The sequence below is a fragment of the Homo sapiens genome, chromosome 20 (assembly GCF_000001405.40).
Source record: "Homo sapiens chromosome 20, GRCh38.p14 Primary Assembly".
In the NCBI taxonomy this organism is placed as follows: Eukaryota; Metazoa; Chordata; class Mammalia; order Primates; family Hominidae; genus Homo; species Homo sapiens.
This window is the reverse complement of record NC_000020.11, coordinates 55,803,337-55,830,146: the sequence shown is the minus strand read 5'-3', so window position 1 is coordinate 55,830,146 and position 26,810 is coordinate 55,803,337. Positions and strand designations below refer to the sequence as shown.

The window sequence follows — 26,810 nt, the reverse complement described above, 5'->3', positions numbered from 1 at the left end:
AACAGCCATAAGTACTGTTAATTGTTAATCAGAAGGTGAAGAAATTTAATGTAAGGACTAACTAGCCAAATAGAAAGAACTGGAAAAATTAGAAAATTAATTTAAAGCAACAGCTAGCAATACAAGTCAGATTCAGTGTACAGCTGCAGGGAAAAATTGATAAAGCAATTTCTCAGAAAATCTATGAAGTACTACAAAATTACCTTGTGATAAGAGTTGGAGAAGTAACAAACATTTAGCCTATTAAGAATTGGAGCATTGTTTAATTAAAATTAAGCCCCATCCAAAGGGTTGGTTAATTACCACAGGTTGTGATCAAGCAGCATTAATAAAAAAGCAAGATCTAAATTGGGTAACAAAACGAAACAATACAATATAAAACAACGAAAACGTACTTTATCTGTAACCTCTCTAAACAAAGTGAAATGGAGGTTTGCTGTAACTATGCTGCTGACCTGAGGTTGATCTGAGATCCCTTCTCTGCCCGCAGTTCCAGAAAAAGAGAAACTTTTCCAAACTTGTACTGTACGCTGTCCTTGCATTGCTGCATTGCTTAGAGCTGGACAGGAGGCTTGTGTCTTCAGTCCTGGGATGTCTCCACTCTCCAAAAATGTATCCTGTCAATCACAATGCTACAAGTGTTAGGAAATAGCTGCACCTTGGGGATTGATTGACAACTGTTGAGAGCATAGCTTTTTTTTTTTTTTTTTTTTTTTTTTTTTTTTTTTTTGAGATGAATTCTTGCTCTGTCGCCCAGGCTGGAGGCTGGAGAGTGCAGTGGTGCGACCTCGGCTCACTACACCCAACCCCCACCTCCCGAGTTCAAGCAATTCTCGTGCCTCAGCCTCCTGAGTAGCTTGGGTCACAGGCGCCCACCACGACACCCGGCTAATTTTTGTATTTTTAGTAGAGACAGGGTTTCACCGTGTTGACTAGACTGGTCTCCATCTCCTGACCTCAAGTGATCCGGCTCCTTGGCCTCCCAGAGTGCTGGGATTACAAGCATGAGCCACCGCACCCGACCAGAGCATAGGTTTTGATATGGCTTTAGTGTTTGCCCCTCCAAATCTCATGTTGAAATGTAATCCCCAGTGTTGGAGGTGGGGCGTGGTGGGAGGTGTTTGGGTCATCGGGTGTGGACTCTTCATGAATGGCTTCCTGCCCTACCCACAGTAATGAGTGGTACTGAGTTCAAGTGAGATCTAATTGTTAAAAGAGTGTGGCACCTCCCCACTCGCTTTCTCCTGCTCCCACTTGCCATGTGACGTGCCTGCTCCCTGCCACCTTCCGCCATAATTGTAAGCTTCCTGAGGCCTCACCAGAAGCACCATGCATCCTGCACAGCCTGCAGAACAGCGAGCCCATTAAACTTCTTTACCTTATCAATTACCCAGTTTTAGGCATCTCTTTATAGTAATGAAAGGACGACCTAATATAGCTGTGTAAAATAATGAAAAGCAAAACTGAAAATGTGAAGCCCCTTAAAAAAATTCAGAATTTCAAGATAGTAATAGCAGGGCATTAAACCAAACGAGGGGTGCTTCTGAGCATGGAGCCCCGAATGACTTGTGGGTCACATACTCTTGAAGCTACCCTTGGGTGCTTTGAAAAATCTGTGTGAGAATATGAAAGCCAAAACCAAAACTAGTACACGAATTGAAGGTAAACATCCGGTAAAAGAGAAAAGAAAGAGACATTTCTAACATATATTGAATGTTGAATACTTACAACGTATCAGGCTACTTATTTAATTCTCTCAACAGCTCTATGAATATGGGAGGTTATTTCCATCCCCATGTTGCAGATTAGGACACCGAGTGACTTAATGAATTACACAAGGTCACGCACCCTTTAAGCAGTTGAGCAGAACCTCAGAACCATGTCTCTGGCATGAGTACCCAAACCACTGCTCTTAGCCCCAAGAAAGAGTTGAACTGGATCCAGTTTCATTCCTCTGCATTTGGTTAATCAGTTTCCCCAGTACTATTTATTGAATAGGGTGTCCTTTCAAAATGGCTACTATTAAAACGTGAAAAAACAACAGATGTTGGCGAGGTCAAGAAAAAGGAACACTTGAACACTGTTGGTGGAAATTTAAATTAGTTCAGCCCTTGTAAAAAAAAAAAAGTGGTTTGAGGATTTCTTAAAGAACTAAAAATAGAATTACCATTCAACCCAACAGTCCCGTTATTGGGTATATACCCAAAAGAAAATAAATTGTTCTAACAAAAAGACACCTGCAGTAGTATGTTTATCACAGCACTGTTCACAATAGCAAAAACATGGAATCGACCTAGATGCTCATCAGTGGATTGGATAAAGAAAATGCACATATACACCACAGAATACAACACAGCCATAAACAAGAATGAAATAACGTCCTTTGCAGCAACACGGATGCAGCTAGATGCTATTTTCTTATATGCTTCAATGCAGAAACAGAAAAGCAAAACCCACATATTTTCACTAGTAAGTGGGAGCAAAACAATCGATATACCTAGGCACAGAGGTGGGAAAAATAGACACTGGAGGTCGGGCACGGTGGATTATGCCTGTAATCCCAGCAGTTTGGGAGGCCGAGGTGGATGGATTGCTTAAGCTCAGGAGTTTGAGACCAGCCTGGACAACATGGCAAAACCCATCTTAAAAAAAAAAAAAAAAGACACTAGGAATTCTAAAGGAAGGGAAGGAAAGGGGAGGCAAGGTTGAAAAAATACGTATCAGGCACTGTGTTCACAGCCATTAGAAAGCAGTCAATCAACTCCTACCTGAAGCTGTGGGTTTCTCAGGTTTCTACTCTTTCTAACACTGGCTTCTTCAACTATTTGAGCCATCACATACCTTTTCCTTTGTTCCCTATTTGTTTAACTTTGTCAGAATTCATTTCTGTTGTTTGCACCCAAAAGCTCCAATTAATATATGTGACAATTATTGGAATAATTGTAGCATTTTCATTCTGAATTTTCTGACCTCTCTATGCCTGAAAGCCCTCATGAGTGTCCAGCAAGGGCTTGGGTGGGAAAAGTAATAAATAGAATGGAAGGATAAATAAAGGTAACTACGGGGAAGAACAGGACAAGAACAGACAGAAGAAGGGGTTAGAGGAAGGAATCAGTTGTGTGCCATTCAAAGTTAAACAAGGTACCAAATTTGTTTTTCTTTCATGAGACGGTCTGCATTCTTTTGTTTTTTAAAGGGCTCTGTTGATCATCATCTTCACACTATAGCAGGGGGTATGGATTCCGTGCAGTGGTCCAACGGCCTCATCAAGCTGACTTCCAGAACTATGTTTGCAGCATTTACCTTAAGTCAGTATCAGGAATGCTCACCTCCCTCAGCACAGGGTCTTCACGCTTACAGTAGGCTTTCTGTACATATTCGTCGAGGTCTGTAAAAATGGATGGATACATACACATTTGTGAGGATACAGTTCTTGAAATTGCTACACTGGAAGGAAACTATCTTCAAGGTAGTGATACCATTAACAGTGCAGTGGAAAGGTTTTTATGATGGTTCCATCCCCACCTCCTGGTGTTCATGAGCTTGTGTGATCTCCTTCTATTAAGTGTAGGGGGGATTGTGACTTGCTTCTTACATGTAGAATGCAGCAAAGATGTTGGGAATGTACATGATTACATGACATCATACTGGAGTCTGTCCCTTACTAGCTTTGGGGAGGCAAGTGGTCATGTTGGGGAGCCCCTTGTGGCAAGGAATCGTGGAAAGCCTCAAGGAGCTGGGGCAGCAGCAACTGTGGACTTTGGTCCTATAGTGGCAAGAAAATAAATTCTGATAACAAACTAATTAATCGTGGAAGCTAATCTTCCCCTATCCCAGCCTTAGATGGGACCACAGCCCCAGTTGACACCTGAATTACAGCCTTGTGAGACTCTGAGTACCTTGGTAAGCTGTGCACAGGATGTTGTTTTAAGCTTGTAGGTTTCTGGTAATATTGCTGCTTAGTGATATATAACTAAGACAGGTAGCTTATGTCATAGATGAGAGCCTGGATTTGGAAAGCCATTGGAACCAGTAGAACCTCACCTCTGCCCTTTCATACTTGTATCCTTGGATGACTTGGCTAACCTAAGGCTGAGTTTCACAATAGGCATAAAGCAAGGTTACTCAGCCTTGGCACTATTGACTTTTGGAGCTGGGAGACCATCCTATGCATTGTAGGATGTTTAGCGGCATTCCTGGCCTCTACCCCTTAAAGCATCTCCCGCCCCCAATCTGTGACCACCAAAAATGTCTCCAGACATTGCCAAATGTTGCAAGAGGGGTAGGGGAGGGGAAAAATTGCCCCCAGTTGAGAATTACTGGTATCAAGATTAGTGAGGATGATAATAGTGATTACACCTAGTTAATGGTATCATTAAACCATAAAATGGAAGCTTTAAATAAGATGGTTAGACAAAAACTTGAAAATCTTAATAATAATAACGTAAAGAATGTAATACATTAAGGATACTTTTGTTCTCTTAGTTGCATCTATTGCCAGAACGTGGATTTTGGCTGACACCAAATCTGTCAAGAAGGGAGTAATATCTCCTAGCATGAGATGAGAGAAAATGCTAGCTCTTGAGAGTGAGAGAGGAAAATAAGAGATGGAAAGAGGAGAGGAAGGTCAAAGCCCTAGGTGGAGCCATATGCTTCATGGAACTTCCGGGTTCACCAAAGGTTGTACATATAAGGTTTAGAGTGGGAGGCTGAGAGCAGAATCACATGGGCATTAGCAGTCATGTGGATGAGACTAGGACTCCCGAAGGCTCCGTTAGGCTGTGACATTGGGATTGGGAGCAACCCTGCTCAGATCTTGAGAGATGTGGGACCCCAAGTGATGCCTGGATTGCATTGCTGTTATTGCCATCATCATTATGACTACAGGTATAGATGGGTACCAGCTAGAAGCATTTCTTTTTCAAATCCAGACATTTTAAATTTTTTCCCAATTGAAAGCAAAAGTGTTACAGTTTCATATAACAGTGAGTGAATGAGCACCTTGGGCCTCCTGGTAATTAGTTTAAGCTGGAACATCACTGGCCAAAAATAATAAAAAGAGAATCTCCTATCTCTTTATAAAGCTTGGTTATAGTGATTGGACACAGTTTAAACCAGCCTAAAATGATGGAAAATTCCCTGAAGGAAGAAAACAGAACGCAGAAGAAGCTATCCTTGCTAATCAGTCACAAAATAGTTCAGTAAGTGCCTCTTGTATCGATTTCTTTTTCTTTCTCTTCTCCCTTTTCCTTTGTCCTAATTTCCATCCTTGGCCTCTTCACCCTGCACAATATTTGGCCTTGTAACAAAAAGGCCCAAAATGCACATAAGTCCACAAAATCGATAGTGGAGGTTCACTGAATACAACAGGTGCATTTTGAACACTGTCTTTACAATAATGCCTCCAGGAGATGAAATAGCAACAGTTAGCAGTTGCACCGTTTTCACACGTGTGGAAATACTTCTAAATGCTGCATGTGCACTAACCCGTCTGACTTCAGAGAAGCCCTCTCATGTTCAAGGTGATATTCTTATGCTCACTTGTGAGATAATAACAGTACTACTAATGAACATCTAGTGGCATGTTCTGGTTTGAAGACCCTACACTGATTAACTCATGTAACAACTCTCTGAAATTGTTGTTACACAATTTTAAAGCTGGGAAAACTGAGGCATGGAGGGGTGAAGGGGCTTGCCAGGATTTTTCAGGTAATGTTGTCCTAGTGTAACTGCCATCCCTACCTTCACCTTCCCATCTGGTAGACAGCTCCATGCAAACCTGGAAGGTTTTAGCTATGTCTACAGTTAACTCAGAACAAAGCAAGCAGTAGAAGTGGTGTGTGCATGTGAGTGTGTGTGTTCCTCCAAAATGAAAGATGAATATTTAGGTAAGACTAGATTCCATTTATTTTGTAGTACATCTTCAGCCCAAATAGAATTGCTCACTGCATTTTTGTATGCTGTAGTAGATGTTGAAGTTTGTTTCCAGTAATGAAATACTGCAATTATATATACTTGTGAGACAAGTCACAAACCAAGAGATAAGCATTACTGTTTAGATACCGACAAAAGAGTGTAACTGCTAAAAGCTAGGTTCCATTTTAGCCCTGTCTAATTAAGCCTGGAATGTGTGTAAAATCACTAGCATAGAGTTTTGCAAAGTACATTATCAGGCTCTGGTTTGAGCTACACTTTGGCAGCTTGTGACAGCCAAAGACAATTCTGTGGTATTTGTATTGTTAAATGTGATCTCCAGCAGCATCTGTAAAGTAAAGCAATAAATAGCTCGTGTCTTTTGTTGGAGGCAGCAAATGACTGTTTGCATGGGTAGTAAAATCACAAAAGTTGCAGGTACATCAGGAAGCAGCAGTGGTGTCAGATGGAAAGGATTCATACCTGAATGAGCAATTAGCATCAGACTTATCTGAGGGGAGATGACATATGCACATCCACTTTATTCTGAAGAAGCAGAATTTTTATTTCCATTGCTAAAGATCTCTCTCAATCAGGGGTTCTTAACCTTTTAGAGGACACCAAGTCCTCTGAGATTTTCGTGAAAAGTGTGATCTCATAACCAGAATAATCTACATAGGCATATGTGATTGAAGGAGAGTTTTTATTCCTTGTGTCTCCCCTACCCATTTTTCTGCCTTTTAAAAAATCATTCAAGCAGGAAGATGTATCCTGGGCTTCTCTGTCTCATAGAAGGCTTCACTTTCAAAAGGCTAAGTGTGTAAGAAGAGGAACAGAGTTCATGGGGTTAGTCTTAGGATTTGCTCAAATCAGGGATGGCTCTTCTCTTTGCATCAGACTGTACCTTGAAAGAACTACAGAGAGAAATGGTAGATTCCAAGGAGACAGAGAAAATTACAGAGTGCCACATTCAGATTACTCCCTACATAAGTTACATACAGACATTACAGAGCTCTTCTCATGGTGACCTTCTTCAGTGGTCTGTGCAGTTCTGCTCACAGGGGTTGGGTGACTGGCTTGTCCATGGGAATGAACACAAAGTCCATAGCCAAGACCCTGGAGATTGGCCAAGACTGATGGGCCCAAGGGATTGGGATTGGGTGGAGTATTCTACCTGCTTGTATACTTTTGAGGCATATAGTGACATCTAATCTTGAATCTCATGTCTCATTGGAGATATTGAGGAGCCAGTTTCTCTGTTAGTAGAAATTAAAAATGGAGAAAGCAAAATTTATGAACAAAGGGATATTGAACAGGGACACTAGTGATATCTTTTTCTTTGCTGCAGATATACTGCCCAGGAAGGGACTGACAGTTGCTAGTATAATTTATTTTGGTAATAATCATAGTCTGTTCATCCCATCTGCTTCTCTTAAGAAGGGAGAATGGGATACAGTGATGGCAAAGGGTGTGGAGGATCATGAAGGAAGTTTCTCAGGACCTTCCTCGTAAGGAGGAAGGAGCAAGAAGACATGTGTAGGATGATGTAGAGTTCTCTGCAAGAAACAAGGACATGAAAGGAGTTTTTCACAGGTTCTGCACATATGCAACACATGCACATACATTTGCGACAGACATATACTCAAAACACACACACCACACACACACACACACACTCACAACATATTGAGAGAGAGAGAGAGAGAGAGGAGAGAGAGAGAAGCTGGGACCTAGACCCAGAGTGAACTTCTGGGCAGCATGCTAAGGCTTTGTAAAGGCTAAGCCATAGCTTACACATGCATAAAAGCACACAGATACAGGGCACCCATGCTCCAGAATTCATTTGCTCTGAACTAGTTACAATTTGTAGAATTCGTCCTTTTAGGTTAGGCCTCATGTATATTGTTCCCTAGGTCCACAATGCCTACTCCCAGCCCCAACTCTTCTTTATTCAGCCAATTCCCACCGTTCTTCAAAACTCAGCTCAGGCAACAGTTCCTTCAGGAATTCCATCCTACACACCAGGGCAATTTGGGTAAGTCTCTTCCATGATCTTGTAACCCACGTGCTGACATTTTAAGTTGTGCTGTACTAATTGGTTTAATTGTTTCTTCCTCCTCTGAATTCCAAGTTTCTTGAGGGCAGAGACCATATTTCATTCAACTTTGCTTTGCATAGTGTCCTTCATAATATATGCATGCATAGGTGAAGGAATTGATGACTGAAGAAAACCAGGATGATGAATATTGGATGAAGAGTTTGAATGAAGTAGAAAAACTCAGTAATAGCTGGCTTTTGAAAAGAATACCTTTCAACAAAAGTGACTGATTATGTTAACAAATGTAGGGGAAATAAAAATATGAATCAGGAGCTTGCATTTGGCCCTAGCAGTTGCAGAACTGCCAGTGGTTACCAAGGGGCAAGATGTATAATGGTTAGGAACTTAGGATGATGAACCAAAAAGTCAAGGGTTCAAACCCAGGCTCTCACCCTTACTAACCATATGAGCATGAGACAGTTATTGAACTTTTCTGAATCTTCATTTCCTAATCTGTTAAAAGAGAGAGAGAAGTAGCCACCTTTTTTAGGTGCTGTAAAGATTCAATATAAAGATTGCAAGTACAGTGGTTGGCTGGGTACCTGACACATGGCTCGGGTAACTCATAAATGTTAACATTGTATAGGTCTATTTGAAGGCAGTTGCATTTGCTTGGGACTTTTTTCCCAAGCTGAAATTTTAGGATAGTACTGGAGTATCAGCTCATAACAGTGCTATCCTATGTTCTGCTTAACAAATGCTTAATAAATTAATTTTATGGTCTCTATTTTGAGTAAAAGCATGCAATTTTCATTCATTAGTATTCATGAGCATGGTCCATAGTAATAACATTTCATAAACATTAAAGCATTTAATGTCTACACATGCCACTTTTATCTATCTATCTATATCTATCATCTATCAACTATGTACATACACACAGACATCAATAAAGTTTGGGTGGTAATTATCACTAGCAATATTTTCTACTCATGAATTTTTTTTTCAGCAAGGGTCATCAAACTTATTTACAAAGAAGCATGCTAAGAACATTCATGTTTTTTCTATTCTGGAATTTATGACCACAGTCAGACTTCTGAATCCTTATTTATTTGAACTTTGCATGTCATAGGAGGTCTAGAAACTTCACTAGCTAGAAATGAATATAAACAACTGAATTATGGCAATAGTGGCATAATTATAGTATGACAGTAGTAGGGAATTAATCTTAGGACAACCACCTAAGGCATTGGAAAACACTGGCCAACCGCACTGTCTTTAGTGATGGACTGAGGTAGGTTCAATTAATTGCATTAGCAGCTTTAGAAGAGCAGAGAGGCCTGATAGAGTCCAAAAATAATAATATAAAAATTGTTTTCAGCTAGATTGAATCTGAAAACAAGCAGCGAGGTTGCCAGAATTCCCAAATTCTTATCTTGACTTTGATCTTAAAAGCTGTATGACTTTTGGACCTAAGTTTCTTCAATATGTACAGTAGTCATCACAGGAGGAAAGGCATTAAAAACACGGGGTCTATGAATATTCATCAAAAGGTTTGTGAACTTCTTGTAGCTTTTCTGTGTAGATGCATTTTTCTGGATCTACTATACTACTGTCATACTATAATTATGCCACTATTGCCATAATTCAGTTTTTTATATTCATTTTTAGCTAGTGAAGTACATTAACATGAATGTTCTAGACCTCCTATGACATGCAAATATTTTCATCAGATTTGTGGAGGGGTTCATGAATACCAACATAATCAATAATCACTCCCCATACTGTACAATGTAAAATCTTAAGGATTTTAAGATTTCCTCTCAGATCCAAGATTTTGTGATTCTCTTAAGGTTGCTACTAAAACCTAATAATATAAAAATATAAAATACATAAGAAGTTTTGTAAAGATAATATCTTAGTTCTAATTCTTTTTTAGGAAAATAGCAGGGTGTGACAGTCAAAGCTCAGTGGATCCAGTAAAATGTATTTTAAACTGTGTTTAAATAATTGTTATGGTATGTTAATAGTTGTACCTGGAAAAATTGATTCTATGTTCAAATACATTTTGAAAAAATATACCATATCTCTCTCAGAGATTCATAGAGCACATTGGCATACAGTAAGCTCTAAGCAATTCTGCACTAAAGAACCTGTTTACATTTTTTAAACAGTGTATTCTAATTTACTTGATTGTAGAGCTTCTTATCCAAAAAAACACCTGTTTACATCTTAAAAGATACTTCTGAGGAACGCATTATTCGTAACGCTGAGCTAGTCCATTTCAGCTTTAATTCTTCAAGGAACGTTGGTGGCCTTCACTGGGTTCTTTGAGGTCTGATAATGTTTACTTAATGACATACATGCATTTCAGTTCCCATTTCATGATGTTTTAGGAAGACTTAAATAAGTGTAGGAAAAAGCGACCCATTTTCAAATGACAGAAGGGAGGTATAATTAGAAAGAGCTGAATATTGTGCTAGATAAATTCAAAAACGCAAAGACAAGGGAGGGTGTGTGTAGAGTTGTGGGTATCTGTGATTAGAGGTTCATTCATTCATGCATTTGTTTATTTATTCATTCTAGAATAATTATTGAAAATCTTCTAAGTAATGGGTGTCACAAGAGTTCCTGATAATCTGAAGAAGAGTGGGAAACAATGTCTTTAATTTTATTTTTTATTATTTTTTTTTTGAGACAGAGTCTCGCTCTGTCACCCAGGCTGGAGAGCAGTGGTGCAACCTCAGCTCACTGCAAGCTCCGCCTCCTGGGTTCACGCCATTCTCCTGCCTCAGCCTCCCATGTAGCTGGGACTACAGGCGCCCGCCACCGTGCCCGGCTAATTTTTTGTATTTTTAGTTTCACCGTGTTAGCCAGGATGGTCTCGATCTCCTGACCTCGTGATCTGCCCGCCTCGGCCTCCCAAAGTGCTGGGATTACAGGCGTGAGCCACTGCACCCAGCCCAATGTCTTACCTTAAGGTACTCAAAATCAAATGATATTGGGAGACAGGAAATAATTATAATACAGAGCGATGCATTCTAGGGTAGATGTAGATACTATTGCTCCAAAAACACAGAAAAAGGAGCCAGTTATTTTGGCAGATCTGAAGAAGGCTTCAAGGACCAGATGATATTTGAATTGGCTTTAATAGTCACAGTTGAATAAATTAAGTCTATCCTTTAATAGGAAGTCTTAAAATGAGTATAGGAAAAAACATAGCAGGAAGATATGCTGCTTAATAAAGTGAAAATTATACCAGTTTAGATTTTGGCTAATGGCATTTTGGCTGCAGTGAAGAAAACCCTCAACTCAAACCAGCTTAAACAATAAAGAAGTATGTTATCTCTCTAATAACAACTTCAGAAGGAGGCCTTCCGGGTCATTAACTTATTTCTTGCTCCATTTTGCCATCTTCATTCTGAATTTATTCTCAGCAAGATGACTGCAGAAGTTAACAGCCTTTACATCTACAGAAACAACGTCTAGAAGCAAAGAGACTTTTTTTCCCCCTTTGGTTCCTCCTTAGGAGAGAGAAAACCCTTCTTATGACTCTCTTAAGAGATGTCACTTTATGTTTTATTGGCCAGATATGAGTCACATGACAAGTCCTAAGCCAATCTCTGGCAAGGGGATCTTTACACCAATAAAGTCCACCCAGAATGCTGAGAGTGATGTCATCTTACCGAAGGCACATGAGTTGCACAGAAAAGAGGTGCATACCTGTTTAAAGTGAGAATCCTATCAGGAACTGAGAAGGGGTGAGGAGATGCTCAGCAGGCAATCTATAGCCTGTTCCAAGAGGGCTGTCAAAGAACGTTGCCATCTCCAAGATGCTTTTTCAGTAGCAGATATATTGTCTTTCCCCATTTCAGGGCCAAGACTAACACTCTGAACATAGGTAGTTGCCTGGGGTGCTTCTCCATAATCTTATCTATATTTTAATCCAAAAGAGCATGTATTATTGTAATTTAAAACACTATGCTTTACAATATCTCCCACACTGGCATACCATAAGGTGTTTTGGAACTATTCAAATTAACATCTCCCTTGAGGCTTTGTTCTCTACTAGAATTTAACATGGCCCTCTCTAAGAACATGAACTATAATATTAGAGACATGCTCAAAGTCTCATACAGTGTGCTATGCAAAATGACATTTGTAGAAAATTATTAGATGATGATGACGATTTGACAGTAATTGTCATTTCAGCTAATGACAAACATAAAAAGGTGATGAACTAATTCAAATAAAGAGTTGCAGTTTCTTTATTGTACATAGAGAAAGAAAAAGCCCTACCACATCAGTCTTTTTGTTTTCATATTGATTAACATTAATTGCTTAAAACTCTGATGCCAGCAATATATTACTGATTTATGGTTTGTGAAAGCTATTGACATATGTGGAGATGCAATAAGGAATCTTTTTAGGTGTTATTATAATAGATTGCAGTGGGGATTATCTAATTATTGAGTAAGCACTAGTGATGAACTTTGGTAATAAAAATACCGTATGCTCACCAGGGGGCTGTGGGACTAAAATAATGGCTGACTCTGACAGCATTAATTAGTTTTTCTTTTTCTTTGCTCTTAAGTAGAAATTCTCACTAGTGTTCTTTTGGAAGCAAAGAATGAGTGAGTTGAATAACTGTTTTCCACTCTTTCACCTCAATTTTCCTTTTTTCAATTATTAGTCATTTGAATTTCCAATTGAATTATTCCATTTTTCTTTCTAAATAATTCATTTTTAAGCATCCAACAATAGAAATGACAAAACCTCAATGTAAGGCATAATGTCATTAACTATTTTGCACCCGTAACTTATATTTTTAATACATTTACTGTATGTCAGGGCTTTGACAATTATCATCCACAAGCCCTAGTGGACCCTGAGTATGACCAATTCCCCATGTTCAGTCCCCATAATTGTAATACCTAGTATGGCTTCTGTTTTCCTAACTGGTTCCTGGCTGATGTTATGTATTGTTATTTTACTCACATTTCAGGTAAAGAAACCCACAGAAAGAAAAATTACAGCTAATGGATAGAAACCGTGTTTGAACTAAGGCAGTTTGACTTCAGTGTCAAACTCCTTTACACCCCATTGTTCTTCTGGATCTTAAATTTAGAGGTCTGAATTGGGAGAGATCATAGAAAATGTTTAATACAACTAATATTGTACTCTGTGGTGAATAACTGAAAGCTTTTCCTCTAATATCAGCACAAGATAAGGATGCCCACTCTCAACACTTATATTCAACATAGTACTGGAAATCCTAGCCAGAGCAGTCAGTCAAGGAAAAGAAAGAAAAGGCATCCAGCAAAATTCTCCTTGTAGGTGACATAATCTTATGTATGGGAAGCTCTATAATCTACAAAAAAACCCTCTTAGAATTAATAAACAAATTCAATTAAATTGCAGGATATGAAATCAACCTGCAAAAATCAATTATATTTCTATACACTAACAGTGAACAATACAAAAAGGAAGTTGAGATAATACCATTTATAATATCAACAAATAACCATAATAAGCTTAATCAAGGATGTAGAAGATTTATACATTGAAAACTACACAAAATTGATTAAAAATAATTAAAAAGACACAAATAAATGGAAAGACATCTAATCCATACTATGTAAAGCGACCTACAGATTCCATACTATCCTCATCAAAATCCCAATGGCAGTTTTTCAGAAGTAGTAAAAACAATCATAAAATTTCTATGGAACTCCCAAAGACCAAGAATAGACAAAGCAATGTTGATAAAGAAGAATAAAGCTATAGACATCACAATGATTGACTTCTAAATATATAATAAAGCTATTCTTATTAGAAGACCATGGTCCTGGCATAAAGACAGACATACAGACCAGTGGAACAGGATAAAGAGGCAAGAAATACATACACATATGATCAACTGATCTTCAATGAGAGTGTCAAGATTAGCAGTGGAGAAAGGACAGTCTTTTTAACAAATGGTGTTGGAAATACTGGATTATCCACATGCAAAAGAATAAAATTGAATCCTTATCTTACACCATATACAAAAATCAACTCAAAATAATGACTTAAATGTAAGATCTGAAACTATAAAACTCCTAGAAGAAAATAGGAGAGAACCTCCTTGAAAATGTCTCATTTTCTAGAAGGAAATTTTAGAAATTTAAAATTTTAGAAAAGTGAAATACTTGCCAAACTAGGTCACACCCAAAGAGCAGTATTTTCTTTTATTCATTCAATTCATTGAACAAATGTTGATCCAGGGTTTTCTATTTTGGGTACTTGCAATACAGTAATGGAACAAACTAAGTTTCTACTCTCATGGAGTTAGGATATTTATAAGTTAAGAGACCGAAAATAGTAAATTATACACGCCCCAAAGAAGGAGATGTATGCAACGCAGTGGGGGTGGCTTAAAAATTTGGTAGAGTGATCTAGATAGACCTCGTTAAGAAGGTGACATCTAGGTATTTTATTCTCTTTGAAGCAATTGTGATTGGGAGTTCACTCATTATTTGGCTCTCTGTTTGTCTGTTCTTGGTGTATAGGAATGCTTGTGATTTTTGCACATTGATTTTGTATCCTGAGACTTTGCTGTAGTTGCTTATCAGCTTAAGGAGATTCCGGGCTGAGACGATGGGGTTTTCTGAATATGCAATCATGTCATCTGCAAACAGGGACAGTTAGACTTCCTCTTTTCCTAACTGAATACCCTTTATTTCTTTCTCTTGCCTGATTGCCCTGGCCAGAACTTCCAACAATATGTTGAATAGAAGTGGTGAGAGAGGGCATCCCTGTCTTGTGCCAGTTTTCAAAGGGAATGCTTCCAGTTTTTGCCCATTCAGTATGATATTGGCTGTGGGTTTGTCATAAATAGCTCTTATTATTTTGAGATACGTCCCATCAATACTAGTTTATTGAGAGTTTTTAGCATGAAGGGCTCTTGATTTTGTCAAAGGCCTTTTCTAGGAATCCGACTTACAAGGGATGTGAAGGACCTCTTCAAGGAGAACTACAAACTACTGCTCAACAAAATAAAAGAGGACACAAACAAATGGAAGAACATTCCATGCTTATGGGTAGGAAGAATCAATATCGTCAAACTGGCCATACTGCCCAAGGTAATTTATAGATTCAATGTCATCCCCATCAAGCTACCAATGACTTTCTTCACAGAAGTGGAAAAAACTACTTTAATCTGGAACCAAAAAATAGTCTGTATTGCCAAGACAATCCTAAGCAAAAATAACAATGCTGGAGGCATCATGCTACCTGACTTCAAACTACAGTGCAAGGCTACAGTAACCAAAACAGCATGGTACTGGCACCAAAACAGCTATAGAGCAATGGAATAGAACAGAGCCCTCAGAAATAATACCACACATCTGCAACCATCTGATCTTTGACAAACCTGACAAAAACAAGAAATGGGGAAATGATTCCCTATTTAATAAATGGTGCTGGAAAAACTGGCTAGCCATATGTAGAAAGCTGAAACTGGATCCCTTCCTTACACCTTATACAAAAATTAATTCAAGATGGATTAAAGACTTAAATGTTAGACCTAAAACCATAAAAACCCTAGAAGAAAACCTAGGCAATACCATTCAGGACATAGGCATGGGCAAGGACTTCATGACTAAAACACTAAAAGCAATGGCAACAAAAGCCAAAATAGACAAATGGGATCTAATTAAACTAAAGAGCTTCTGCACAGCAAAAGAAACTACCATCAGAGTGAACAAGCAACCTACAGAATGGGAGAAAATTTTTACAGTCTACCCATCTGACAAAGGGCTAATATCCGGAATCTACAAGGAACTTAAACAAATTTACAAGAAAAAATCAAACAACCCCATCAAAAAGTAGGTGAAGGATATAAACAGATGCTTCTCAAAAGAAGACATTTATGCAGCCAAAAGACACATGAAAAAATGCTCATCCTCACTGGCCATCAGAGAAATACAAATCAAATCCACAATGAGATACCATCTCACACTAGTTAGAATGGCGATCATTAAAAAGTCAGGAAACAACAGGTGCTGGAGAGGATGTGGAGAAATAGGAACGCTTTTACACTGTTGGTGGGACTGTAAACTAGTTCAACCATTGTGGAAGACAGTGTGGCAATTCCTCAAGGATCTAGAACTAGAAATACCATTTGACCCAGCCATCCCATTACTGGGTATATACTCAAAGGATTATAAATCATGCTGCTATAAAGACACATGCACACGTATGTTTATTGTGACACTGTTCACAATAGCAAAGACTTGGAACCAACTCAAATGTCCATCAATGATAGACTGGATTAAGAAAATATGGCACATACACACCATGGAATACTATGCAGCCATAAAAAGGATGAGGTCATGTCCTTTGTAGGGACATGGATGAAGCTGGAAACCATCATTCTGAGCAAACTATCGCAAGGGCAGAAAACCAAACACTGCATGTTCTCACTCATAGGTGGGAATTGAACAATGAGAACACATGGACACAGGGTGGGGGACATCACACACTGGGGCCTGTCATGGGGTGGGTTGGGGGGGAAGGATAGCATTAGGAGATGTACCTAATGTAAATGATGGGTTAACGGGTGCAGCACACCAACATGGCACATGTATACATATGTAACAAACCTGCACATTGTGTACATGTACCCTAGAACTTAAAGTATAATAATAAAAAAAAAAGAAGGTGACGTCTGAGTAAAGACTTAAAGTTGTTGATGAGGTAAGGTGAGATGGTATCTGGGGACAGAGCATGCCAGGCATGGGAAGATAAGCATAAAGGCTTAGGAAGAAACATGTTTGCCAGGATAAGACACATCTAGGAGGATGGTGTGGCTGGATGGAGGGAGAGTATAGGAGATGAGGTCAAAGAGGAACTGAGCTCTGGAGGCCACCATAAAGACTCAGAACTTTCTTTCAGGTTGGCAACTATTGCACAGTTGAGCAGAATAGTAAGAAGGTCTGACCAACGTGTACAAATTTTTTAATATATGTTGTTTCATTTTATTTTTAAACTATTTTTTATCCCATGCTCTAACCTGTTCCCAGAGTTCCAGATTTATATACACAACTGCTTTATATGCATCATTAGACATCTCAAACTTAACATGACAAAATCAGAAATCTTGATTCTCCACCAAATATGCTTCTTCCCCAAACATCTCCCCTTCTCGGTAAATGACAACTTATCCCTTTCCATTGATTAGGCCTAAACCCCAAGGGATTTTTACCTACCTCTTTCCTCATTGCCTATTTGTTAGTTAATCCCATTGACTATGCTAGAAAATTAGCTAATCCCATTAGCTACATTAAAAATTAATTCAAAACCCCACTGCTTACACATGTACTGCTTTCATCCTGCCACTTGCATCTCTCTCTTGGACTCTGACCATCATCTCCTAACAGATCTTGCTGCTTATACTTTTGCCTACCTGCAGCCTACATCTCATCATAATAGCTGGAGTGAAACTTTTAAAATGTAAGTCAGATTATGTTGTTACTCTGCTTAAAACTCTTCACTAGCTCCTTATTTCCACCAAAATAAAATCTAGTGTCTTTGCAACGGCTGATATGGCCCTATGTGGCCTTGCCCTTTGCCATTTCTCTGACCACATGTCCTACTAATCTCCCTTTTATTTGTGTTACTGCAGTCACACTTGACTCCTTGCTGTTCTTTAAACACATTTAGCACAGCTTTTCATCAAAACATTTGTTTTCGTCATTTCCTGTACTTAGAAGCCTTTTCTCTCGCATATCTCCCACTTCTTTGTCATATTTTATGTGAGTGGGCGGGAAAAACATCTTATCTGATATAGTCTTAGTTATTGCTCCATGTACAGCTCTGATAAAAGTGCTTAAACGTAGAAGTGTGGTTCAATAAATAAGTTGTTGGATTGATGGATGGATAGATGGATTAATGAATGGATGAGTGGGGTAGATGGTTGGATTGATAGATGGATATGTGGATGGATGGGTGGATGGATGGATGGATGGGTGGGTGGATGAATGGATGAGTGGATAGATGGGTGAATGGAAGGGTGGAAAATAAACTGGTAATGTTTACATAATTCATCGGGAAGCCATCCATATGAAGAAAATGGCCTGAGATGATGATGATGAAGAGAGAGAGTCACCTCATCTGTTTACTTATTATTGCCTGAATTAGTTTAAATTTAGTATTGTTACTTACCTGAAAACTAAGTAGAGTCTAAGACTATACCACCTCATAAGATTATCTTTATTCACTTGACAAATATGTATTGAGAACTTTCTATGCCAGCCACCATTCCAAACACTGAGAACAGAAAAATAAATAAAACAAGATCTTTGCTTATGGAGCTCACAGCTTAGAGGAAAAGACAGGCTAATATATAAATAACATAGTTTTAGATAGTAATATGTGCTATTAAGAGAAACCAGTGAGTAGGAGAGGATAGGGAACCATAAAGGTTGTTCTCTGAGGATACTTAGAGAAAGCCTATCAAAAAGGAAGGATATCCCAGAATAGGCAGATCCACAGAGACAGAGAACAGATCATTGATTTCTAGGGGCTGGTGGGAGGTAGGAATGAGGAGGGACTGCTTAGTGAGCACGGGTTTTCTTTTGGGGTGATGAAAATGTTTTGGAAGTAGAGGTGTTTGTTGCACAACACTGTGAATGTACTAAGTACCACTGAATTGTTCACTTTAAAATGCTTAATTTTATGTTAATTTCATCACAATAAAACTAAAAATGAAAAAAGGGCAAAATGTTAAAGCAGAGATTTGAAGGATGAGAAGCTGAGCCAGGTAAGAGCATTTGAATGTTGCAGACTGCTCCAGGTAGAGGAAAGAGAAAATTGATAGATTCTGAATTGGGGCAGGTTGGCAGGCTTGGGTTACTTTCAGAAGTCTAGGGATAGAAGCAGTTAAAATGTAGAGATTGAAAAGAGAGTGGCAGGAGAGGAGCCCAAAAGAATGGCTATGCTCAACTGGCCAGTCCCTTGTGCCCAAATATGGAGCAGTGAACTACCCATCTCGTGGTTTTCTCAGGCAAATGCAAAAGAGATAGAGCAGCTAGCAAGTGATTATAATGTGGGGCAATGGGAGCTAAACTAGACAAGAATGGAAGTGAGAACATGAAAATGTAAGATAAAAAAGTAGCAGGGTGGATAGATTGGATGTCTGTATTAGTCCTTTCTCAGGCTGCTATAAAGAACTGCCCAAGACTGGGTGATTTACAAAGAAAAGAGGTTTAATTGGCTTACAGTTCCACAGGGCTGGGGAGGCCTCATGAAACTTACAGTCATGGTGGAAGGGGAAGCAAACATGTCCTTCTTCACATGGTGGCAGGAGAGAGAAGAATGAGAGCCAAGCAAAAGGGGAAGCCCTTTATAAAACCGTCAGATCTTGTGAGAACTTACTCATTATCACAAAAATAGCATGGGGGAAACTGCCCCCATGATTCAGTTATCTCCCACCGGGTCTCTTCTACCACATGTAGGGATTATGGAAACTACAATTCAAGATGAGATTTGAGTGGAGACACAGCCAAACCATATCAGTGTCTCAGTAGGGTTGGAGAATTGTTGCATAGAAATACTAGAGACAGACTGAACTGGAAAGATAGATTGGTGGTGGTTAGCAAGTGGGACCCATGGAATTAAGATTTTACTTGTTTTGAGGTGGTATGGCTCTGAGTGATGCAAAGTTAATAGTTAATTGTATAAGTGCAAGACTGAGGTCAGCTAGAGGAAACACTGTGGTATGTGTGATTTCAGATTATTAGCCTATGTGGTTGTTTAAGGTCCCAAGGGAACTGATGGGAGAAATGAAAATGCAGGCCTCTGGGCCACAGTCTTCACTGAATGATGGGGGATGCCATATTTCTAAGAGATGGTAACAAGGATGAATAGGGGGTTGCATCTTAGATGGTGTTTACTTCATGGAGGAAGGTGGAAGAAATTGTTTTGAGGGAGCTGTGAAGAGCTAGAAGGATACCTGCCTTACTCACAGGCCTGGTAGCACCTGAGATGTGCAGGACAAGTTGTATTTTGATTACAGTCAAGTTTGTTAGAGCCAGAAGAAAAAGAGAACATTCCAAGAAGAGATGGAGAGTCAGGGAGATTTTTCTGATGACAGACCATGAGTTCCAGTGTAGGACAGGAGTTGGAAGTTGCAGATTGGACCATATCAGAGCATGCACCCACCCTCCGGGATAAAATGAAGGATGCATGGAGATGCTTGGACTTTGATTAATAACTGGTATAAAAGGGAAGTAAAATAGGTCATAATAGGTCTGTGCTATTACAACCACGAAGTTTGGCTTGGCTTCCTGGCACTTTGTGGGACTGAGGCTAAAGGTATATGGTGGGCAGCTGGGTTATGGGGAGCTGCAGAGATAAAGATGAACATTCCTAAACTGCTTCTCTGAAGAAAAAACAACCAACTTTCAACTAAAACTCAGTAGGAATATTCAGACATTCTTGATAGCATCTCATCCAGTAATAGTTTATGGTAAACATCATCAATAGCTCCTCCTAGACGAAAAGTGGTAAATTTATTCATCTGTTAAAAAATAAATTGATTTCTCTGAATAGACCAGTAACAGGCTCTGAAATTGTGGCAATAATGAATAGCTTACCAACCAAAAAGAGTCCAGTACCAGACGGATTCACAGCCGAATTCTACCAGAGGTACAAGGAGGAACTGGTACCATTCCTTCTGAAACTATTCCAATCAATATAAAAACAGGGAATCCTCCCCAACTCATTTTATGAGGCCAGCATCATCCTGATACCAAAGCCTGGCAGAGACACAAACAAGAGAATTTTAGACCAATATCCTTGATGAACATTGATGCAAAAATCCTCACTAAAATACTGGCAAACCAAATCCAGCAGCACATCAAAAATCTTATCCACCATGATCAAGTGGGCTTCATTCTTGGGATGCAAGGCTGGATCAATATACGCAAATCAATAAATGTAATCCAGCATATAAACAGAACCAAAGACAAAAACCACATGATTATCTCAACAGATGCAGAAAAGGCCTTTGACAAAATTCAATAACCCTTCATGCTAAAAACTCTCAATAAATTAGGTATTGATGGGAAGTATCTCAAAATAATAAGCGCTATCTATGACAAACCCACAGCCAATATCATACTGAATGGTCAAAAACTGGAAGCATTCCCTTTGAAAACTGGCACAAGACAGGGATGACCTCTCTCACCACTCCTATTCAACATAGTGTTGGAAGTTCTGGCCAGGGCAGTTAGGCAGGAGAAGGAAATAAAAGGTATTCAATTAGGAAAAGAGGAAGTCAAATTGTCCCTGTTTGCAGATGACATGATTGTATATCTAGAAAACCCCATTGTCTCAGCCCAAAATCTCCTTAAGCTGATAAGCAACTACAGCAAAGTCTCAGGATACAAAATCAATATACAAAAATCACAAGCATTCTTATACACCAATAACAGACAGAGAGCCAAATCATGAGTGAACTCCCATTCACAATTGCTTCAAAGAGAATAAAATACCTAGGAATCCAACTTACAAGGGATGTGAAGGACCTCTTCAAGGAGAACTACAAACCACTGCTCAATGAAATAAAAGAGGATACAAACAAATGGAAGAACATTCCATGCTCATGGGTGGGAAGAATCAATATCATGAAAATCGCCATACTGTCCAAGGTAATTTATAGATTCAATGCCATCCCCATCAAGCTACCAATGACTTTCTTCACAGAATTGGAAAAAACTACTTTAAAGTTCATATGGAACCAAAAAAGTGCCCACATCGCCAAGTCAGTCCTAAGCCAAAAGAACAAAGCTGGAGGCATCATGCTACCTGACTTCAAACTATACTACAAGCCTACAGTAACCAAAACAGCATGGTACTGGTACCAAAACAGCATGGTACTGGTACCAAAACAGAGATATAGATCAATGGAACAGAACAGAATCCTCAGAAATAACACTGCATATCTACAACTATCTGATCTTTGACAAACCTGAGAAAAACAAGCAATGGGGAAAGGATTCCCTATTTAATAAATGGGGCTGGGAAAACTGGCTAGCCATATGTGGAAAGCTGAAACTGGATCCCTTCCTTTCACCTTATACAAAAATCAATTCAAGATGGATTAAAGACTTAAACCTTAGACCTAAAACCATAAAAACCCTAGAAGAAAACCTAGGCATTACCATTCAGGACATAGGCATGGGCAAGGACTTCATGTCTAAAACACCAAAAGGAATGGCAACAAAAGCCAAAATAGACAAATGGGATCTAATTAAACTGAAGAGCTTCTGCACAGCAAAAGAAACTACCAGCAGTGTGAACAGGCAACCTACAAAATGGGAGAAAATTTTTGCAACCTACTCATCTGACAAAGGGCTAATATCCAGAATCTCCAATGAACTCAAACAAATTTACAAGAAAAAAACAAAAAACCCCATCAAAAAGTGGGCGAAGGACATGAACAGACACTTGTCAAAAGAAGACATTTATACAGCCAAAAAACACATGAAAAAATGCTCACCATCACTGGCCATCAGAGAAATGCAAATCAAAACCACAATGAGATACCATCTCACACCAGTTAGAATGGCAATCATTAAAAAGTCAGGAAACAACAGGTGCTGGAGAGGATGTGGAGAAATAGGAACACTTTTACACTGTTGGTGGGACTGTAAACTAGTTCAACCATTGTGGGAGTCAGTGTGGCGATTCCTCAGGGATCTAGAACTAGAAATACCATTTGACCCAGCCATCCCATTACTGGTTATATACCCAAAGGACTATAAATCATGCTGCTATAAAGACCCATGCACACGTATGTTTATTGCGGCACTATTCACAATAGCAAAGACTTGGAACCAACCCAAATGTCCAACAATGATAGACTGGATTAAGAAAATGTGGCACATATACACCATGGAATACTATGCAGCCATAAAAAAGGATGAGTTCATGTCCTTTGTAGGGACATGGATGAAATTGGAAATCATCATTCTCAGTAAAGTATCGCAAGAACAAAAAAACCAAACACCACATGTTCTCACTCATAGGTGGGAATTGAACAATGAGAACACATGGACACAGGAAGGGGAACATCACACTCTGGGGACTGTTGTGGGGTGGGGGGAGGGGGGAGGGATAGCTTTAGGAGATATACCTAATGCTAAATGACGAGTTAATGGGTGCAGCACACCAGCATGGCACATGTATACATATGTAACCTGCACATTGTGCACATGTACCCTAAAACTTAAAGTATAACAATAATAAAAAAAATTGATTTCTGGCAAAAGAGCCCTCTGTGGATTGATATTTCATGAACCGAGTTTTGTTTCCTGCTGTTGCTTCCAGCAGAGAAGCTAGGGGTGTACCCGGAGCAGGTGGTACTCATTAGAAGCTATTGCTGTTTCTTTCTTTCTACATTAAATATCTTGGAGAAGGCCTCCAATTGGCTCATCTTGGGTGCATGATGTCTCTGTGGTCAGAGGTGGGGTTTTGTGATGGGCAGGTGGCCTTGGGCATGAGGGGCAAGGGATTTCCCTGGAACATGGGAGTAGGCTAGGTAGTCTTCCTTTAAGAAGGGGAAGATGCTGGACAAACATGGCAATTCCTTTATGGATTATTATTCCAGATTATTAGTCTTCAATTTGACCACAAAGAAAGGGAGATTTAGAGAGTTAAAATGACTCAGATCCTCAGGATCAGAGATTGTCACCTATAAAACCTCACAGACCCTGGACCTCATCCCCACAGCTCTGAAAACATCTGCTAAGCGCCTACTAATAAATTATCAATCTGTGTGCTTATATTTTATCCTGAAGTTCACACAAATTCATCTTATGAGTTCACCCACATGACTCAGTGATCAAAATTACTTATGCATAGGTCCCAATGTCTGCTGTAGCTGATGCATCAAAAATCAGGACCCCTGGCGAGAAGTCGCAGTAGCAACAGAAACTTGGGTGTTGGATAAAAATCAACCAGGGCTCATCATGTGCACGGAGCTTGGGGGAATTTTAAACCTGGAAAAGATCCCTGACCTCAGTGCTTTGTCTATTCAACTTGTTCCTTCTCTTGGCGGAGAGGAAACACTATCAGTAGTGTACAATATATTTTTTCTGTTGTGTGAGTCAGATGTTATGAGAGTAGATGTCTAAGGGAATATTTTAAATAGGAAGAAATTGATGTTATTTACCTGGTATCATTTAATACATGAGTGGTTGAGTTCAAACCACATACTTGACATTCTGGTTTGCCATAAAGTATACTTTGCCCTTCATCTCACCTAAAATACATGTATAAATTGAGAGTTTTTATATTTAACCTTAAGCATTGCTCAGACAACAGATACTAATTTACGATCTCTAATGCTATATTTTCGAGTGTGATTCTGATAAGACCTGCTTTCCAAGTCGGCTGGGTAAACCCAAGATTACACTGAAAACAACCATTAGCTTGGTGCTGTTTTCATTTCTTGAAACAATTCTTGTCAACTGGGGCTAGCCCCAATATCAAATAACAGTTATAGAGGTGTGTAAAAAAATCCTCCCTTCTGAGTGAGTGAAATGAATCATTGCTCACTAATGGTGATATTTAGTGAGATTAATTTGAATTGCTTTCTCTTCTGGGTACATTTCACCATAGTCAGTATTTATCTTTTGAAGGTTTCCCAGTCATCCACAAGAGATGGATTAGACTGAATTAGTTTTGCAGGCAGAAATGTAAAAACAGAAATATAAATTGGAGTCTAATGACCATGGTTTGAACAACTTTATGTACAGCACTCTGAAGACCACTAAAATAAATGTTTCCTGTGTCAGACGGGGCTTGACTCTAATTTCTGAATTTTTTTTCTTTAAGCAAGGAGGTTGAGTGATTACATATGGCTTGTGTCAAGTCATGCTATCTTGGTGAAACAATCTGGGTGAAATAATTTTACAATTCAGGGACCTTGCATTGTATTTGACATGATTTAAATGAGGCGGATTAAAAATTCATGCCATCATTATAATCTTGATGATCCTCTACATTTTTGAAGTTTAAGAACAATAATCTTTCATAATCATCTTTATTTTTTTAATTCTCAGGTATTGGCTTCTTGTTTTACATACTAAAGAGTTCTGTGTTTTTTAGATAAATGTTATGAGGCAGCAGGCACACGATATTATAATGGTTTAGTATCACAGTAGAGAGTTAGGATCCTCAAATAACGTGAGTTTGTGAGTGCATATTGATTGCCTTGAGAGCAACCATTTCTTAATCTCCTTTTTTTCCTAACACTCAAGAGTTTTCTCTGGGAATTTATTCCTTCTCCATTTTTGGTCTTGCATTTTTAGGAGGACAGGCCTGTCCCTCAGTGTGAGGAATGTGGACTTGTTTTTGTGGTGTGTATTAATGTGTCATAACTCGGGTGGAGATGACTCTTGGGAACTCTGGGAAAGATGCCTCCTTTTGTTCCAGGAGGGCTACTAAGAGCAATTCTGCCTCTTCTGGTATGTGTGAAGCAGCAGGTACTGAGCCCCGGGAAATGCTCATGATTCTCAACAGAAGCAGCAATTGGACAAAGCAAGTGTGAGGGAGGGCAGAGAGGAGGCCACAAAGAAAGAGATCAGACCCTCAGCTGAAGATTTTCCAATTATGTGACACAAACAAATTGTTCCTGGAGTTGGAAGAGCAACCTTAGGTAATAGTTGCTTGCTAAATATTTGTGATCTATTGACTCTGTGAACGACTGGATGCATCCCATGTTAGTGAAGCTCATAAATTGAGAATTTATAGTTAGGGGCAAATTTTTCTCAAAAAAGAAAGAAAAAGATTTACCAACATTCTTCTTTAAAAAAGAAATTTACTCAAAACATTTAAAATTTCACTATGTGAATATGTGAATTACATACAAATTTTCCACAGCCTGCCAATGGGCTGCAGAAATTATACCAACTCTTTTTTCTTTTCTTACAAATGCCCCACTTTTAAACACCCACATTTTTACAAATGTCAAGTGTTGTGGAGAAACTGATGGTCACGAAAGATAGTCACTCTTCCTATTTCTCAAACACAGCCTGTTGACCTATCTTAGAGGCATGTAGTAGGATTCTTCCTGGCTTCCTTGTGATTGAGTGAGGCTGTTGACTGACTCTTGCCAATGAGCTGCAAGCAGAAGTGTTAATTCTGGGATAAATATTTAATTACCGGTGGGAGACCCTCTGGAGTTCTGGAGGTATACAGGTCACCAATATTTGAGCCTCGGCCATGAGTGACTGATAGGAGCAGAGATCCCTGCCCACCCGCAGTGCCCATGGAGATTTCGGAATTGTTGGTTACTACATTAGAATCTAGTCTATCTGGACTGACCCACTGGTATCATGACTCAGTTATAGACAAAGACACTAAAGCTAAATTCCCTCTAAGCTGTGAAAGAAACTGGCTTACAAATATTTTTTCAATGGGATGACTGGTTGAGCAATTATTTTTCTGAAAGCAAGTTTTGGTGTTGAAGACCTAGAGGCATGTCCCTGGTTTCTGCACACAGTGCCTTTCACACGGACAAGTCAGAGAAGCTCTATAGAGGACACAATAAAGGACTGGAGAAGAAGAAAGAGGAGGAAACAGATGAGATGCTGCATGTGTGAGCGAAGAGAGTGTTCATCTTTTGTAGGGGAGGTTAGAAAAATTAGAAATAAAAGGGAAGAAGATTCTATAAAGTGTTGGGATATAACTTAGTTTACCACAAGTTTTCCTCAAGGGATGCAAGTAAAGATCAGACTACTTATGTGATCACCTTTGGTTGCCATTCAGCGCTGTGCTACTTTTGTTTAACTTTGTTGAAAGGCTGGTC

The 26,810-nt window shown here is 39.1% G+C and overlaps 1 long non-coding RNA gene across 1 annotated transcript; it reads right to left on the bottom strand.

Moving 5' to 3' along the window:
- Nucleotides 1–455: 455 nt before the first annotated feature.
- On the bottom strand, nucleotides 456–26,247 carry LOC105372677 (uncharacterized). The gene is made up of 3 exons (XR_936887.2): nucleotides 26,165–26,247; nucleotides 3,330–3,388; nucleotides 456–617 (listed from the first exon to the last, which is right to left on the bottom strand). It is a non-coding gene; the product is annotated as an uncharacterized LOC105372677 (long non-coding RNA).
- Between the last annotated feature and the right edge of the window lie 563 nt (nucleotides 26,248–26,810).